The sequence below is a fragment of the Homo sapiens genome, chromosome 1, assembly GCF_000001405.40.
Source record: "Homo sapiens chromosome 1, GRCh38.p14 Primary Assembly".
Lineage (NCBI taxonomy): Eukaryota > Metazoa > Chordata > Mammalia > Primates > Hominidae > Homo > Homo sapiens.
In genome coordinates this window covers 20,414,172-20,433,866 of record NC_000001.11, presented here as the reverse complement: position 1 = coordinate 20,433,866, position 19,695 = coordinate 20,414,172, and the positions used below count along the sequence as shown (strand labels likewise).

The window sequence follows — 19,695 nt, the reverse complement described above, 5'->3', positions numbered from 1 at the left end:
AATCATGGTGGAAGGCGAAGGTGGAGCAGGCATTTCTTATGGTTGGAGCAGGAGGAAGAGAGAGAGAGGGGAGGTGCCGCACACTCCTTCCTTCCTTCCTTCCTTCCTTCCTTCCTTCCTTCCTTCCTTCCTTCCTTCCTCTCTCCCTCCCTCCCTTCCTCCCCCTCCCTCCCTCCCTCCCCCACCCTCCCTCCCTCCCTCTCTCTCTCTCTTTCTCTCTTTCTTTCTTTTCTTTCTGATGGAATTTTGCTCTTGTTGCCCAGGCTAGAGTGCAATGGTGCGATCTCGGCTCATGGCAACTTCTGCCTCCCGGGTTCAAGTGATTCTCCTGTCTCAGCCTCCTGAGTAGCTGGGATTACAGGCATGTGCCACCACACCCAGCTAATTTTTGTATTTTTAGTAGAGATGAGGTTTCTCCATGTTGGTCAGGCTGGTCACCAACTCCTGACCTCAGGTGATCTGCCTGCCTCGGCCTCCCAAAGTGCTGGGATTACAGGCATAAGCCACTGTGTCCGGCCGACTGTGCCACACACATTTAAACGACCAGATCTTGTGAGAACTCTATCACCAGAACAGCACCAAAGGGATGGTGCTACACCATTCATGAAGGACCCACCCCCATGATCAGTCACCTCCCACCAGGCTCTACCTCCAACACTGGGAATTATAATCGAACATGAGATTTGGGTGGGGACACAGATGCAAACCATATCACTCAGGGAGGCAGGGAAAGCTCCAGGAGGGGGCGAAGTCTGCACTGAGACTTGGTGAAAAGATGTCCAAGCACGTATGTGACAATTCATTTATGAATTGAATGAATGAATGAATATGCACATTTTCATCTTTGGGGATGTAGATGTCAGGGGTGTGTGCATGTGTGGAAGTAGGTGTTTGAGTGAACTGATATCTACTTGTGTGCATATGAGTGTCGTTTTGCACACAAAAATATGCTGTGTATATAGACATGCATGTAAACAGGTGCATTGATGTGAGTGTATGTATGCGAGTCCAAAAACGGATTTGCATTGTATATCCAAGTATATAGAGGTAGTGGAATGAGTCTGCCTGTTCAACTTTTGCCTCTATCACTTATATGTTCTGGGCAAGCTAACCTCTTGGTCAGTTTCTGCATCATTAAAATAAGGAAAATGGTAGTATCTCCCTGCCTTAGGTTGGGTTGCTGGGAAGCAGGGCCCGAGACAAGCATTCTTACTCAAGCAATTTATTGTGGGAGAAACTGCAAGCCAGTGTGGGAAACAGGGTAGAACTGGAGGAAAAGCTCAAAGCTGAGATGTGGGGTCAGCTGGTGTCTAGTCTCAGCCTGATCCCATGGGGAGCTCTGAATCATAAATAGCTTCGCAGAGGTGGCCACCATAAGAGAAGGAGGCCAGCCCTTGCCAGCCATTAATTGGCCGTGTGTTCCTAGCCCTCACCTGGAGGAAGAAGTATCTCCTAGGCATTTCCAGAGAAGGGGACAGGAGCACCAAGGCCTTTACTAGGCCACGCTTTTGCTGCCCTTGCTTGTCAAATGAGTTCTCAGGGACAGCAGTATCAGTCTCCCCTGGGAGCTTGTTAGAAATGTCAGTCGGGGCGGTGGCTCACGCCAAAAATCCTAGCACTTTGGGAGGCTGAGCTGGGCAGATTACCTGAGGTCAGGAGTCTGAGACCAGCCTGGCAACATGGTGAAACGCCATCTCTACTAAAAATACAAAAATTAGCTGGGCGCGGTGGCACACACCTGTAATCTCAGCTATTCAGGAGGCGGAGGCAGAATTGCTTGAGCCTCGGAGACAGAGGTTGCAGTGAGCCGAGATTGCACCACAGCACTCTAGCCTGGCCGACAGAGAGAGACTCTGTCTCAAAAAGAAAAAAAAAAAAAAGAAAGAAAGAAATACGGAATCACAGGCCTTCCCCAAGATCTGCTGATTTAGACCCTGTGCTCCAGCATGATCCCCAGGCCCAGGCACCTTAACATTTGAGAAGCCCTGTGTTAAACCACTCACAGGCTTGCTGTGAGGATGAAGCCACATAGAGCACTCAGAGCAGCATCCGGCCCACAGCGGGTGCTATTATTATTATTTGCGCCTAGGAGTGTTGTGCATGTTTCCTCACCCAGATACCTAATATGCATAAATAAACTCGTGCAAGGAGGACCGGTTGGAAAATTGGCAGGATCCATTGCAAAATGAAAATGTGGGCTTCTTGTTCAAAAATTAGAAAGCAGAGTCTTAAACCAAGAAGGGACCCTTCTGAGCTGGAGGCCTTGGTGACCAGCAGGTTTCTTTTCTTCGGTGACTTGGCCCCTCTTTATGGCTTTACAGGTGAGAAAACCTAGGGGAAGGGTGCCAGAGCTGAGTGTTGGACTCAAGTCTCCCGTCTCTGGGGGGACCTGTCCCCACCTCACTCGGACATGCACACTTACTTCCTGGCCCTGCACTCCTGCCTTAGTGCCAACTTTGGGGAATTGTTGAGAATTCGAAGCTGAGAAATGTTCTCTTGTATTTGCACATTGCAAAGAGACATCTGAGCATGTTCCCCCATGAATCGTGAGTATCCATTCCCAGGGAGCTCTAACTGCTCGGGAGAAGGGGTGTGAAATTTAATTTGCACTAATTATCCTGAAGTGAGAGGAGCGGGAAATGAGCTGGCTCTGCACATTCGGCCTCTTCCAGCGGCTCCCTGTTCCCCAGGTTGCAGTTTGTTTGTGTGAAAGGGGTGGGGGTGGGGTGGGGGTGCTGTTTCTATGGCAACTGCAGCTGCTGGGATTTTGGGGTGGCTGGGCAGGGAGGGAGAAGGGAAAGGCTGGGGCAGAGCCGGGTGGTGTGTGTCCTTGTGGTTGTGGGGCGGGGGGCATCTGGAAGCCCCTACTGACTCTGATGGGTGAGAGGAGGTGGAGAGGAGACGGATGGAGTTCTTCCCAGCCCCTTTTCAGCTGGGAGAGGGCTTTGACCAGGAGATGGACCTTCCGAATCAGCAATTCCCTGGAGCAGGGATGTCCCTCTCAGGCCCCCAGGGCTAGGCCAGCTGGAGGGCAGAAACCCAGGGTGGCAACTGTCAGAGGGAGCACCAGAGAGGAGAAGGGACTCCAGGGCCCAGGACAAAGTGCCCCACTTGCCTCCTCTTGCTCCTCTCCCCCTCCCTTTCTCAGCTCCACCTTTCTCTTCCCATCTCTTATCCTCTCTCCCCTTCCTCACCTCCTCCCTCCCGCAACCTATTCCCTTTCCCCTTCCTTGCCCTCCCCACAGACTCTTCCTGCCACCACTAGAGGGCGCTGGGGCGCCACGGTCTCCCTGGGAGGGATTTAGCAGCCTAAGACCCTCCATGGGCACCTCACCGGGGGTGGGTGGGCAGAAGCAGGAGGCCCTATAGCAACTGGGTCGTCTGCAGAGCGGGGCTGATTCTAGCCTGTTTGGAGCCTGGGGCAGGTCTGGGCTGTCCCCAAGGACTGAGGATGGATGGCACGACCACCTTCTCCTAACAGCCTTCAGGGGAAGGGGATTTGATGGGGAGGGTGCTTCTGTGGGACCTGAATTTGCATCCCAACCCTCACACCTAGTGTGACCTTGAGCAGGTCACCTCACCTCTCCAAGCTTGTCTTCTCTTTTGTGAAAGGGGGGTAACCACTCCCTGCTCAGAGGCTGTTGTGAGGACTGGATGGAATCACGTACAGGAACTGATCGCAACGCTCAAGGGGGAGCATATCTTGGCCTTAGAAGTGAATCAGTCAGTCAACAAATGTTTATTGGGCACCTCCAATGTGCTAGGGGCTCTGCTAGGCACTGGGGATGGCGGGGATCAAGGTGGAGGAGGGCTTAGCATCATGGATCTTTCAACCTAACAGGGATGAAATTATTATATAAAAGAGAAAAATAATTTAGAAATTAGCAGCAAATTCTTGTTTTTGAGATGGGGTCTTGCTGTGTCGCCCAAGCTAGAGTGCAGTGGCGTGATCACGGCTCCCTGCAACCTCGACCTCCCAGGCTGAAGCGATCCTCCCACCTCAGCCCCCCGAGTAGCTGAGATGACAGGCTCACACCACCATGTCCAGCTAATTTTCTATGTTTGGTAGAGATGGGGTCTCACTATATTGCCTAGACTGGTCTTGAACTCCTGAGCTTAAGCAGTCCTCCCACCTTGGCCTCCCAAAGTATTGAGATAATAGACATGAGCCACTTTGCCTAGCCTGTAAATTCTTAAGTAGTTGCTAATATGTGGACTGTGTTACAAAAGAGAAGTTCTGGGTGCAGACCAGGGGATCGTCTTGGTCTGATATTTAAGCTGCAGCTGAAGGGTGAATAGGTTCCTTCTTTCCCACGAGAGAGGCAAGAGGGAAGGGCTTCCAGGCTGAACGAAGGGCAGATGCAAAGCCAGGGTGGAGGGAGGGAGAATAGGATGGATCCCAGGCCCCAGGGGTTTTGTGGAGGGTTGAGAGTGAAGGAACAGGGTGTGAGATAAACTGGGGAGTACTCGGGCAGGGGCCAGGCTGCCTGGAGGATATGGGAGCGTGTATGGCTCTGGAGCTGTGGCACTGCAAAGTGGAAGGCCCAGCTGCCTTTTTGTGACAGACGGAGGAGGCGTTTTCAAAGTGATGACAATGTTTCTGAACAGGAAAGTGGGTCTCTTCTTCTTCCCCAACAGTCTTAGAGCATCTAAAAATAAAGCAGGCATCAAGAGAGCATCCCAGCAGTGCCATCACAACACAGGGCTCGAATGTGGACAGGAGGAGGACCTAAGTGGACCCGGAGGCTGAGCTGGCCTCGCAGCACTGGTGGTGGGGGAGGGCTGATGGTCAGGACTCTGGGTCTTTGGCACTGCTGCCTAGGCCGTGGCCCTCAGTCTGCCCATCTGTGAAATGAGGGGGAGCTGGTCCTGACTGCCTCCCAGGGACCCTGTGAAAAGCCGCTCTGAACTCCTTGCCAGAGAGGAGGTTTGCCGGTGCCACAATCCAGGTCTGTGGGTTTCCCTATCAAGCTGGTCTTTCTGTAATAAGCAGGGAGACAAAGGATTTTGGGGTCCCCACTATGATGTAAACCCTGTGCTGGGTGGGGTAGGGGTTCAGAAGCAGAAGTTGTGTTTTCAGCCTCAGGGAGCTCTAGTGGAGAGACAAGATTCGTGCATGAAATAATTACGACTGTTGTAGAAAAAAGAAAAGCCTGTAGGTCTCCCTTCCTCCCTCCTTCTCTCTGTCTACCTCAGCATTTCTGGGGTTCACTCTGCTCTGGGTACTGTGTAAAGGACTCCACAGCCATCAACTTCCCTTCATCCTTGCCGTGTCTTTGAAAGGTGAGTATTTTAAAATATATATTTATTTTTCTTTATTTTTATAGAGACAGGGTCTTGCTGTGTTGGCCAGGCTGATCTCAAATTCCCATCTCAGCCTCCCAAAGTGCTGGGATTATAGGTGTGAGCCACTGGGCCCAGCCTGGAAGGGGAGTATTCTTGTCCCCACTTTACAGATGAAAAAACTGAGGTTCAGAAAAGTTGAGTGACTGTCCCAAGGTCATGTAGTTACTAAATGTCAGACCTAGAATTAGATAGACCCCAAGTCTGCCTATCTGAATCCAAACCTAATGATATATGTGAACCCATGATTGCCTTTCCCAGGGGTCGTTGAGGTACCTGTGTGTTGTGGAAAGAGAGTGGGAGAGGGAGAGGAAGAGATATTCTAAGATTCTTTTAAAATATAAAGATTCTGGGGAAGTGAGGGCCCAGCAGTCACTCTTTTTTTTTTGAGACGGAGTCTTGCTCTGTTGCCCAGGCTGGAGTGCAGTGGCGTGATCTCAGCTCACTGCAACCTCCACCTTCTGGGTTCAAGCGATTCTCCTGCCTCAGCCCCCCTGAGTAGCTGGGATCACAGGTGCCCACCACTGCGCTTGGCTAATTTTTTTTTTTTTTTTTGAGACAGACTCTCACTCTGTCGCCCAGGGTGGAGTGCAGTGGTGTGATCTCGGCTCACTGCAACCTCTACCTTCCAGGTTCAAGCGATTCTCCTGCCACAACCTCTTGAGTAGCTGGGATTACAGGGGTGTGCCACCACGCCCGGCTAATTTTTTGTATTTTTAGTAGAGACGGGGTTTCACCATGTTGGCCAGGCTGGTCTCAAGCTACTGACCTCAAGTGATCCACCCGCCTCAACCTCCCAAAGTGCTGGGATTACAGGCATGAGCCACCAGCGGTCACTCTTTAGTGCTAATTTGTAGTTTTCCTGGTGCTGGGCTTGGGTGTATAAGGAGAAAGTAATGACGCGACATGTGTGACTACGAAGAGAACAGGGGGCGTCCAGGTTGGGGGTGTGGCAGTGAGAAGCAGGAGGGCACTGGCACTAACAGGAGGAAGAGGCAGGGAAGGCGGCATGCAGAACGCTTTGGCTGGAGAGCTGGCTTGGTGGCGAATTCGCTCGCTGTGTGACCCCGAGCAACTCTTTTCTGTTTGAGGTTTTCATCTCCCATCTGTGCGATAAGAATAGTGGACTAGATGGTGGCTAAGGTCCCTTCCAGATTAAAAAGTCACTGCTGACTCTCACCTGGAGTTTGGTGTGGGGTGGCCCTAACTGGCATCAGAGGTCCAAGGGTAGTCTTGAAGTCTGGTTCTACATCTGAATGGCCCCAAAAGCAGAGGAGCAGTGACGGACGATATCCTCTAGTGATGTGGAACGCTGTGGGGCTGGACCTGCCTGTTTTGAGCCACTGCTTGCAGCTCCCATGGAGCCTGTGGAGTCATTTCTCCAAGTTAGAGCCTTCATTGTCTCGTGATTAACTTGGGCTTCTCACTATGACTCACATCCTGGAATGAGCTGAGCTCAAACATGGTTTCTATTGCTCAGAGAAGGGGCTCCCCTTTCTCAAGTCCCTTCCCTGCCTCCTCTGCACTGGAAAGCTCTGTAGTGAATAGAGTGCTGGACTGGGGGATGGCCAGACTTGGGATCTTAACCTGGATCTTTTTAGCTTTGTGGCTCCAGGCAAGCTGCTAAACCTCCCTGAGCCTCAGTTTCCTCATCTGTAGCACGGGGATCAATACACCTGCCTCCCAGGGTCCTTGAGATGATTACAAGAGGATGTCTGTGGAGGTGCCTGGTACACAGTAGGTGTTCATTGTAGGCCAGCGGATTTTAGATCAGTTGACAGTTTCCCCAGCAGTGGGCCTGTTTCCTCTAGACCACTGTGTACTCTGAATAATTCTCCTTTAAGCAGAGGCCCAGATTTTCAAGGCAGTGGGTAGGATCAGGCAAGATCTACAGCCTTGGAATAACCCCATAGCCCCACCTGTTCCCTCTCTTTGGGGCCAGAACCTGGCTGGCCCTCGGCCAAATGTATAAGCTTTCAGTTCTGCAAGAGCAAATTTAAGGTACCTGGCCAGCTACCCTCCTTACAGCCTCCAAGCTCTGCAATGGGGTGGCTCAGAACCTAAGACTAAAGGTTTTATTTATAAATCCAAAAGTTTTAATCTTTATCAAAAAGGCATACACACACGGTTTAAATAATAACACAGTTCTACGAGGTTTATTATAAAATTAACTCACTCTCATTTCCCCCACCCCAGAGAGGAAACCACTTTGACTTCTTTTAGCTGATTATTTTGACATTTGTATTCATGTTTCTAAATGACATGCTTGTTTCACTGCTTCTTGAATTTTCTTTTTTTTTGGTTAGTTAATTAACTTATTTTGTGTCAGCTTTATTGAGATATAATTCACATATCATACAATTCACCCATTTAACAGGTACAATTCAGTGGGTGTTAGTATATCCACAGAGTTATTTAACCATCACTACATCAATTTTAGAGCATTTTCATCACCTCAAAAAGAAAGCCTGTGCCCTTCAGCTATTATCTCCTGCCTTTGTCCCCATCCCTTGGCACCTGCTAATCTACTTTCTGTCTCGATAGACTTGCCTATTCTGGACATTGAATGTAAACAGATCATATAGTACATGGTCTTTTGTGACTGGCTGCTTTCACTTAGCACAGTTTTCTCAAGGTTTATCTAAGTTATAGTACATATTAGTTCTTTATTCATTTTCATGGCTGAATAATATTCCATTGTCTGGATATACCACCATTTGTTTATCCATTCATCAGTTGATGGACGTTTGGGTTGTTTCTACCTTTTGGTTAGTGTGAATGATGCTGCTGTGAACATTTGTGTGCAAGTTTTTGTGTGGACATATGCTTTTATTTCTCTTGGGTATGCTGGGTTATGGAGTAACTTTATGTTTAACCTTTTGAGGAACTGCCAGGCATTTTCTACAATGGTTGCACCATTTTCCATTCCCACCAGCAATATATGAGGGTTCCAGTTTCTCCACATCCTTACCAACAGTGAAGTTATTCTGACTTTTCGATTATAGCCATCCTAGTGAGTGTGAAATGGTATCTAATGTGGTTTTGATTTGATGGCTAATGATGCTGATTATATTTTCATGTATTTTTAGCCATAGGTACATCTTCTTTGGAGAAATGTCTATCCAGGTCCTTTGCCCATTTTTAATTTGGATTACTTGGCTTTTTATTATGACTTGTAAGAGTTCCTTCTATATACAAGTCCCCTGTCAGACATATGATTTGCAAACATTTTCTCCTATTTTGTGGGTTTTCTTTTCACTATCTCAATTGTATCTTTGGAAGCACAAAAGTTTTAAATTTTGATGAAGTTCAACTTATCTATTTTTTTCTTTTGTTGCTTGTGCTTTTGGTGTCACATACAAGAACCCATGGCCAAATCCAAGGTCATGAAGATTTATCGCTCTGTTTTCTTCTAAGAGCTTTATAATTTTGGCTCTTACATTTAGATCTTTGATCCATTTTGAGTTAACTTTTTGTGTATGGTGTAAGTTAAGGGTCAAACGTGATTCTTTTTCATGAGGCTATCCAGTTCCCCAGCATCATTTATTGATGAGACTATTCTTTCTCCATTGAATGGTCTTGGCATCCTTGTCAAAAATCAAATGACCATAGCTGTATGGCTTTATTTCTGGACCCTTAATTCTATTCCATTGACCTATGTGTCTGTCCTTATGCCAGTACTACACTGTTTTGACTTTTATAGCTTTGTATTAAGTTTTAAAATTGGGAAATGTGATTCCTCAAATTTTGTTTTTCTTTTTCAAGATTGTTTTGACTATTTGGTGTTCCTTGCAATTATATATAAATTTTGGGATTGGAATTTTCATTTCTACAAAAAATGCCATTGGGATTGCATTGATAGGCATTGCATTGAATCTATAGGTCAGTGTGGGGAGTATGCTTATATCAACAATATGAGTTTGGTAATCCATGAACATAGGACATCTTTTGACTTATTTAGGTCCTCTTTTTTTGAGACAGGGTCTCACTTTGTTGTCCAGGCTGGAGTGCAGTGGTGCAATCACAGCTCACTGCAGCCTTGACTTCCCAGGTTCAAGTGATTCTCCTACCTCAGCTTCCAGAGTAACAGAGACTACAGGCATGCACCACTATGTTGGCTACATTTTTGTATTTTTTACGTAGAGATGTGGTTTCACCATGTTTCCCAGGCTGGTCTTGTACTCCTGGGCTCAAGTGTTCCACCTGCCTTTGCCTCCCAAAGTGCTGGGATTACAGGTGTGTACCACTGTGCCTGGTCTATTTAGGTCTTATTTAATTTTTTTCAACAACATTTTGCGCTTTTTAAAGTATAAGTTTCATACTTCTTTAGTTAACCTTTTCCTAAATGTTTTATTCTTTTTGGTGCTAATGCCAGTGGAACTGTTTTCTTAATTTCATTTTCAAATTGTTTACTGCAAATGTAAAGAAATACAATTGATTTTTGTATATTATCTTTTTCGTTTACTCTTGCTGAACTTGTTCATTAGTTTTAATAGGTTTTAATGGATTCTGATCCCTTAGGATTTTCTATGTACATGATCATGTCATTCTTTGATAACTATATCTTACTTCTTCCTTTCTTTTTCTTGCCTAAGTTCCCTGGCTCGTGGTGAGCATGGATAGTCTTGTCTTGTCCCTGATCTTAGGGGAAAAGCATCCAGTATTTCACCACTGAGTATGTTAGCTGTGGGTTTTTCATAGATGCCCATTATTAGGTTGAGGAGGTTCCCTAATACTCCTAATTTGTTGAGTGTTTTTAGCACTAAAGAGTGTTGGATTCTGTCAAATTCTTTTTCTGTGTTTATTGAGATAATAATGTAATTTAAAAAATCTATCGATATGGCATATTACATCAATTTATTTTCACATGTTAAACCAAATTTGCATTCCCGGGATAAATCCCACTTGGTCATGGTATATAATTCTTTGAATATGTTGCTAGATTTGGTTTGCTAGCATTTTGTTGAGGATTTTGCATCTATATTCATAAGATATATAGTTTTTTGTGATATGTTTGTCTGGATTTGGTATGAGATTAATACTGGGAATGTCTTTATTTCTCCTTCCTTTTGGTGAGAAGTTTTTAAGGATATAGTATTCTTGGTTGGGAGTTATCTTTAAGTACTTTGAATATGTTATCCCACTGCCTCTGGCCTCCACTGTTTCTAATAAGAAGTCAGCTGTTAATCTTATTTGGCTCCCTTGCAAGTGATGATTCTTGTTTTTTTTTTTTTTTTTTCTCTTGCCGCTTTTGAGATTCTTTTCTTCTTTTTAGTTTTCAGCATTTTTACTACTTTGCATTAATTCTACTTGGAGCTTTTTTGAGTTTTATAAATCTGTACATTAAAGTTTTAAAAAATCAAGTCACAAAGTTTTTTTGACATTATTTCTTTGAACCTTTCCTCGTGCTTTTCTTTGTCTCTTCTCTTTCTGGCACTCCCATTATGCATATGTTGATGCACTTAATGATGTTCCACACTTCTTTGAGACTCTGCCCATTTTTTTCATTCTTTTCTTCTGTTTCTGTTCTTTAGATTACATAATCTCTGTCAATCTACCTTCAAGTTTGCTAATTTTTATTTTGCCAGTTCAAATCTACTGTCGAGCCCTTTCAGTGAATTTTTCATTACAGTTATTGTACTTTTCAGCTCCAGAATTTCCATTTCAGAAAAATAATTTTCGTCCCTTTATTTGTATTCTTTATTTGATGAGGCATTATTACCATACCTTCCTTTACTTCTTTAAGCATGGTTTTCTTCAGCTCTTTGAAAATATTTATAATGACTACTTTGAATTCTTTCTCTATTACATCTGACATATGGTCATCCTCACAGGCAGCTTCTGTTGCCTAATTTTTTTTCATGTGTGTCAAACTTTCTTGCTTCTATGCATGCCTCATAATTTATTCATTGGAAATTGGACACTTAAAATAATATATTGTAGCAATTCTGACCTCCTTTGCAGGTGTAGTTTTTGAGGTCATTGTTTGAGATCTGCTCTGACCCCAGGAGGGCTCTTGTTAGCTCTCTCATTCTCTAGTTCTTTCTGGCAAACTAGTCAGTGGTCTAGCTTATATCTCAAATGGATGGATCTACCAGTCTCCTCTGAATTGTTTTCACCACAACCTCTATTGTTTTTGAGAGTGCCCTTAGACTTTAACTTCCCCACATGCTGTTGCAAATGAAGTCAGTTCTTTTAGACAAGCTTCAGAACTCTCTGTTTCATGGTCTGTCTCTCCCCATGGGTGAAATATCTGGAGCTAGGGATGGGGACAGTGGCATGCTTTTCTCTCAGTAAGACCCTTACTTTAGGAGTTGGGTGCTTGCTGAAGTGGGGGCTGGCTGTAACCTCTGGTCTTCTCAGCTTGCCTCTCCTGGTGTGGAACCTCTGCTTTATGAATGAGCCAGGGTGAGAGTAGTTGGGGACCTAGGATTTGTCAGCTTGCCACACCCAAGTTAGAGTGGCCATCTCACTGGTGAGGGCTGGGAAGAAGAAGGGATCCCCTATCTCTCAGCTATACTCACCTAAAACTTAGCATCTGCAACAGTAAGCTTGGACAGGATGAGAAATGCTTATGTCCTGTTCTTCCTGAGAAGATACTGTAGGCTTCCAACTTGGAGTTAAGGGGAGAAGGAGCCCCGTGTTATGGGCTGCACCTATCTGCAGTGGAGTTTTTATAGTGCTGTGATGGGATGAGAGAGGGAGAGAGTGGATCATGGTTCAAATGTCACAGACTCTTGCTATTCTTATGGAGTTTTCATACGTTTTCCTGAACAAACATTTCTTTATTTGCTGTATGCTCTTAGGACCATTTCCAGGGGCTTTAAATAGTGTTTTAAAAATAATTTCCAGCAGTTTCACAAGGGAACAAATCTGCAGAGAGCCTCACATTTCCATGACAGAAGCGGAACTCTAGCTGTTTGACTTTGCACTGGGGAAGATGATGATTTAGCTCTCTTTGCTCTCCTTCCCAGTCCTTAACTTGCTCTCTCCATTCTCCTATCCTCCCAGTAATGCTATGATTTCTTTTTTTTTCTCTGTGCAAGTTTTTGTTTTCCCTGGAGTTACTAGTTGCCTTTTTAAAAAGATATATTTGTTTGCTTGTACTTGTAACAAATTAAGTATGCCAAACTCCTGACCAATAGTGTACATTTTCTCTCAAGACAATTAGATGCATCAGGTTTTTTATCAATTTCATCCTCCTGATGAAATCTTCCAGAGCCTTGTGACCTGCTTAAGGCTGGACTGGTTGCTTTTTACACCTAGCACACAGGTGTCATCCTAGGCTCTCTCTTTACTGTCAACCTGGAGGGTTCCTCCGTCTCTCTTTTGTGTTGGATGTTCAGTTTCCAGTATCTCATATTTTCCTCTTTCTTGTTTTATTCCCTTGTTTTGGTGGAGCATATCCTCCAGTACTTCCTGCGAAAAGATACGTGGAATGTTGGTTTTTTGAGACTTTGCACATCTGAAAATGTCTTTCTTCTATCCCTATCCTTGATTGGCTTTTAGGCTAGGTATAGAATTCTCGCCTGGAAATTATTTTCCATCAGAATTTGAAGGCTTTACTCTATTACCTTCTGGCTATCAGTATTGCCTTCAGAAGGAAGCTGTTCTGTATTCCTAATCTTTTAAATGTGGAAGTAGAGAATCTTCTCTTAGTTTCCAGGGTAGTGACAATTCACAATAATATGCCTTGGTGTGTCTATTTAATAATGAAAATAGACAATAATGTGTCTGTTTTCACTTACTGTGCTGGGCCCTCTGTGAGTTCTTGAAATCTAGAAAGCTGTTCGTTGGGTCTGTGAAATTTTCTTGAATGATTTTATTGATGATTCCCTCCACTCTACTTTTTAAAAATTCTTTTTAGAAGATGAAACTCCTGGACAAATCCTAATTTAAAAACACTTCTCTTCCATTTTCTGCATCTGTCACTCTAGAAGAGCTCAACCCTGTCTTCCAACTTTCCCTTTTTAATTTCTGCCATTGTATTTTCATTTTTAAAAGCTCTTTTATTTTGTTCTCTTCCTATTTTTTTATGAGAATCCTATTTCAATTTCATGCATGTCTTTTGTTGTCTCTCTGATGATATTAAGGAGGTTTTCTCCCCCCTCTCCTTGCTATTCTCTGTTATCCTCAAGTTGGTGTTTTCTCTGTGTTTTGTTCTTTATCTTTCAGATTAGAGGCTTTCTTCTGATGTCTAGTAAACCTCAGTTATCTTGCATGTATTTTAAAATAGGAAAGCATAAGCTGATTAGAAGCTCTGAGTACATGAGTGGGTCTTGTGGGCTGTGGGCTTCCTTGTAGGATGGTGTGACTGGGCTGTTTAATTGGAGAAACTTCCATGTTGATATCTCTAGGGTTTCTCTAGGTATAATATTTTCTCCTTGGTCCATCATGCTCCCCAGAGAAGACTCTTCCAATTGTCTGTCTGGAGGGTATAAGTCTGGCTGTCAGTGTCCCAAGAGCAGAGTGGTTTGTCATGGTTGGGGTCTTGGCATCCAGACTGCTCATTTTCATGGAAACTCTGTGTCATCAATAGAGTGCCACTGCATGCACTGAGCCCGGTGTCCCCCAGTCTAGAGGTGTCTAGTCTGGGACAATGACAGCTTCTGAAACAGCCTTTCAAAGGCTCCTCTTTGTTGTAACTTCTCCTTCACCTCAGCTTCCAGAGGTAACTGGTGCTGCCAAACCCTGAGCCTTTGGGGGACTTTTTTTTTCTGATGCATTTTTCTCAATCATTCGTTTATTTTCCAGCTCCTGAAATTTCATTGTTATTGTCCCCTCTCCTGTTCTCCCATCCTGTGGGTTCATTCCCTCAGACATTTAAAGAAATCTCATCACTGTTATTGGAGCACCCAAGGGATGACTTTAGCATTGCAGTGGCTGTGCGTGTCCAAGCTGCCATCTTTATGTGGACGTCCTCTCTTCTCACTGACTTCCCCATCCCAGCATGGCAGCTCCATGCTTCCAGTTGCTCAGGTCAAAACTCTGGTGCCATCCTTGACTCTTCTCTTTCTTTTATACCTCACATTCAATCGCTCAGCAAATGTAGTGAGCTCTACCTTCAAAATCTATTCAGAATTCACCACTTCCACTGTGACCACTCAGGACCAAGCCTCCACTGTCTCTCACCTGGACGTCGCAATAGCCTCCTCACTCACTGACCTCCCTCTTTCTCTCTTTGTATTTAGCACAGCAGCATGTTCTATCTGTCATACTCTGTCACTCCTCTTCCTAAAGCTCCCCTGTGGCTCCCGTTTTACTCTGAATGAGAGTCCAAATCCCAGTGAAGACCAAGGCCTGTGTGATCCAGCTCTACCACCTTCCCAGACACACTGGCCTTCTGGCCACCTCATTGCACACAGGCAAGATTCCCCACTCTCCTCTTTAAATGGGACACTCTTCCTCCAGGTATCTTTGGGGCTCAATTCCTCGTCTCCTTCAGGACACTTGTGATGCATCCTTGACCCTTCCATCTAAAAGTAAAGCCTTCCTCACTCTGGGGCCCCCCTACCTTCCTTATCCTAGTTCATTTTTCTCTGTAGCAACTATGGGCATTAGACATATATTTTGTTCTCTGTGGTATCCTCAGCACCTAGAATAGTGCTTGGCACGCACATAGTAGGTGCTCAACAAATATGTGTTGCCTGCAGGCATGAATGAATGATTGCTTGACCTTGGTCCAGGTTCTGGAACTGACCTGGTTGCAGCCAGGAGCTCTGGATCTACCAGCCCTCCCCTTAATTAATTAATTAATCCATGTTTCCATCCATGCATTATTATTGTTGTCTTGAGGATTAAGATTGCACAGCTAGAAAGTGGGAGAGGGGGGATTTGGCCTTGGCTTCTCTGACTCCAAAGCCCTGGCTGCTGCCCAGGATGCTAAAAGAAGGACCTTTCCAAGGCCCAAGGAATAAGACCCAGTTCCCTGACTTGGGGTCAGAAGTTAGAACAGAACCTGGACTCAGGTGGCCCTTGCTCCTAAGGTTCCCCTTGCTGGAAGAGCAGTCCCTTGAGAAAGTCCTGCAAGGTCCAGCTCCAGGATGCACCTCAGGGCAGTTCCCCAGGACCAGGGCACAGTCAGCTGCTGCTTGCATGCTGTGTCAGAGTCGTGAGTGTCCTTCCATCAGGGACACTTCTATCAATCAGGTTTCCATCAGGTTTCTTGCAAATGGCCGCTGCTCTCTGTCCACCTTTAACTGTGAACTTTTCCAGGACAGGGACTGTATCTTGTTCAGCTCAGTGTCCCAAGAGCCCATGCAAGGCCTGCAGCCCGGGAGGCCCTAGAGGAGCAGATGTTACAGGCCAGGGGAGTGGCTTGTGTGTGGGCTTGAATGGGGAATCAAGCTCTGCCATCCACCAGCTGCGGGACCTGCAGAAGCTCCTCCATGCTGTGGGTCTCAATCTGCTTATCTAAATAATGGAGAGAAAAACAGTCCCCCTTTCCATGAGGACACAATGAGTTAATGGGTGTGACCATTTGCACAGTGCCCGGTGCAGAGTAGGCATGCAACAAAAATGGCTGTGACCCTGAGCCAGGCCTCCCCAGCCCTGGCCCACTCCCTCTGTGCTCCCCCAGCAGTGGGTGCTTCCGTTTGACTTCCTTCTATTGCCCTGGGCAGCTGGATAATGAGTTCCTGGTCCACCAGCTTAGTCCTCTGCCATTAAGGGACTGGCCTATCTGCGCTCAGTGTTGGCCTCTAAACAGCCTGGCCTTGACACATCGTGTCCTTGCCTGCTGGCCAAGCTGGGGACAGTCATCACTGGGGCAACTGAGGCCTCCTTGGTGCAAACACGGGGCAGTAGGCATCAAGTGAAGAGCAGCGCCTGGGGTACCTGCAGGAAAGAGATACGGCAGAAGGCAAGGGCTGGCGGGGTGATGGGGCAGGGCTGTCTGGGGAAGAGGAGGGCTGATCGGGGCTCTGCTCTGAGGATTTAGGGGAAGTCTGTCTGTTTGGTGTGTCTTTAGAAAGTCAGAAAGAGTTTTCTGTAATCAAGGCGCATTGATTTCCAATGCCAGTCCTCTTTGGCAGATTGTCAGCTCCAGCTAAAGTCAAGGTGGGAGGAGCCCCCTCAGTTCCTTCCTTGAGGTCTTGAGATTTGGGGCTGGAGGCCTGGAGTGGGTGCTCTGATAGATACCCCGATAGTACTTATCTCCTGCATTGTAATTAATTGTTCAATACCTGACTTCCCTCCAAGAGGACGTTAGAGTTAGATTTATTCAACTTTGTGCCCTGCTTGCATCCAGCATAGTGCCTGCTGCATAAGTATAATGATAATATTAATAGTTATCTTTTAGTGAGCACTTACATCAACCCTGAGGTAGGTTCTATTATTATCCCTGTTTTTGAATGAAGAAGCAGGCTGAGAGAGGTAAAGGGCTCCGGTCACGGTCACATAGTTAGAGGTGGCACAGCTGAGAGGTGGCCTCTCTAAGGCTTGTGTTCTGAACTCTGTGACCCTCTGCCATGTTGAGTGAGGGTTTGCTGAATGACTGACAGTGATGACCTGTGGTGATGTGTGGTTGTGTCAACAGTAAAAGATTTGAACAGCTCACTTCTGCCAGCTGCAGCTTTTGTCAGGGGCAGGAAGGGAGAGTGTGAGCTGGGCCAAGCCAGTGGTGGTTGGGCTCAGGCTTGGAGACCTACTGGAAATTCAGATGAGAAGGTGGAGACTAGAATGCCGAGGCTTTTTTGCAGCCTTCTTTTTGGAACGCTAGAGTCTGGTCTCCACGGCAAAGTGTTCTTCTGGCTCCTGTTTGAGCCCTTCCTGTAGTGGAGAAGTCATCATTTTCAGGGATAGATAACATTATTAGAAAACTCCTCCTCGCTGGGCACAGTGGCTCAAGCCTGTAATCCCAGCACTTTGGGAGGCCGAACCTCCCACTTGAGGTTGGGAATTTGAGACCAGTCTGACAAACGTGGTGAAACCCTGTCTCTACTGAAAATATAAAAATTAGCTGGGTGTGGTGGCAGGCGCCTGTAGTTCCAGCTACTTGGGAGGCTGAGGCAGGAGAATGGCTTGAACCCAGGAGGCGGAGCTTGCAGTGAGCCGAGATCACACCACTGCATTCCAGCCCGGGTGACAGAGTGAGACTCCATCTCAGAAAAAGAAAAAAAGAAAACTCCTCCTCCTTTCCAGTCCTTGCTTTCTTGCTTGGTTCTTGTTTCTCCCCTTGGGATCCTGTAGATTGAGTGGAATTTACATATTTGTTGAATGAATAATATAAAGATACCATTTTGGGCCTTGGGGGAGTTTAATACACACGAACCTCCCATCCTCATCCCTGCCACCAAGTTTCCCCTATTGTTAACATCGTACATGACCACAGTACATTTGTTCAGACTAAGAAACCAACATTGGTACATCACCATTAACTAAATTCCATTATTTGGATTTTTCCAGTTTTCCACTAATGTTTTCTGCTCCAAGATCCAACCCAGGATCCCACATCACATTTAGTCTTCACGTCTCCTTAGTGTCTCCTAATCTGTGACAGTTTTTCAGTCTTTCCTTGGTTTTCATGACCTTGACAGTTTTGAGGAGTATTGGGCCAGGTGTTTTGTAGAATGTCCCTCAGTTTGGGGATGTCTGATGTTTTCTCCTAACTAGATTGGGCTTATGGGCTGTTGGAAAGCACGTCAAAGGGGTAAAGTGCCATCTCATATGGTATTGGAAGTGCACGATATCACACGACATCACTGGTGATGTCAACCTTGACTGCTTGGTGAAGGTGGTGTTTGCCAGTTCTCTCCACTGTAAAGTTAAAGTTCTAATATTTAAGTACTTAACATGCACCAAATCGTATTATAGGCCTTAGCTCATTTAACCCTGACAACCACCTTGGGAGGAAGATACTCTTACCATGTCCATTTCACAGTTGCGGAAACTGAGGAATGAAAAGTCAAAGTCACTTGTCCAAGTTGATATAGGTGGTGAATCTTGATCCCAGGCAACCTGGCTGTAGGGCCCATGTTTAACCACTATACTGTATGTCTGCCCTGGGCTAAGCACTCTCATTGTCCACCTGGATTCCTGCAATGGTCCCCTCTTTGTCTCCCCTCTGACCTCATTTCCTGCCCATCTCTCCTTGGTCACTCTGCTGCAGCCACACTGGCTGATCGGAGCCAACAATTTGTGTCTAATTACATTAAATTGCATTATATTTTTACTGCTTTCCCCGAGGGCATCACCTGATTTCTCTCTGTTTATTTCTTTCAGATCAATCAGGCCACTAAGATACCTGCATGTAAAAAGATGCTGTTTACATACATGCATACATGCCAGGTGCATTGCTGCCCCAGGGCCTTTGTACCTGCTTCCCCTTTGTTCAGAATGTTCTGTATCATCCAGGTGGTTTGAATGGTTTGTTTCTCCTCCCTTGGGCCTTTACTGAAATGTTGTCTTCTCAGCAAAGCCTTCCTTGATCATTTTCTTTAAAATCTTAACCCTTGTCTCCTAGTACTCTCTAGTACTCCCAACCACTTATTTTTTCCATAGCACTTACCAGCCTCTGGACATTTTCTTTACTTAACTTATTTCTTGATTGACTGTCTGTCTTTCTTAACTAGAATGTAAGCCCCATGAGGACAGAGATTTTGGTTTGTCTTGTTCACAGCTGTGTCCCCAGTGCCTGGCACAGAGCAGGTGTCCTGTAACATTTGTGCACGAATGCCCTGAACTTGCTTGTCTCCAGGATTCCTCAACTGTTGTGTACTTGATGAGAAATCCCAAAGACAGAATCCCACGGCATGCTGTCAGAGACCTCCTCAGGCTGACATGGGTTCATTTATCAGCACCTTTTGAACTGGGTCATTTGACAGATTACAGGTCTTCTTAATCATCCAGTCCCAGAGCCCTGACATGTAGGCTCCAACAGGAAAGAAAGAGGGGCTCTTGTTCACTTTTGTGAACAAAATATATTAATAAATACATTGCCTTGCACACATGAAGTGCTCAAAAGATGTTTATTGGAAAAACCACTGAAAAGGGCCAGCATGACATGACTTCCTCTAAAGAAATCTACAAACCATCTCATTTCCTTAGGTTGCTTGGCAATCCCCATAGATTCTTTCTTGAGGGCAGCACAGACAGGAGGAGTGTAACCTTGGCCTTAGGAACATCCATTTAACAAAATGTGTCTATGCATGCACACACACACATACACACACACACATGCACACACACACAGAAATGAACAGAGAGAAATCAGGTAAGTCTCTTGGGAAAGCGGTGAAAATATTATGCAATTTAATGTAATTAGACACAAATAGTTTGCCCTGATCAGAGACTCTGGGGAAACTGTGGTGAGTCTGGTGGAGTATCGGGGGGAGTTAAAAACTTTCTCCCACC

General features: G+C 45.6%; 1 long non-coding RNA gene across 1 annotated transcript in view; it reads left to right on the top strand.

The window, feature by feature from the left end:
• The first annotated feature begins 5,072 nt into the window (after positions 1-5,072).
• LINC01141 (long intergenic non-protein coding RNA 1141) overlaps positions 5,073-19,695 on the top strand; it is a 68,994-nt gene continuing 54,371 nt past the window's right edge. The window contains exon 1 of the long non-coding RNA NR_033887.1: positions 5,073-5,283. This is a non-coding gene — a long non-coding RNA (long intergenic non-protein coding RNA 1141). The remainder of the gene's footprint in view (positions 5,284-19,695) is intronic.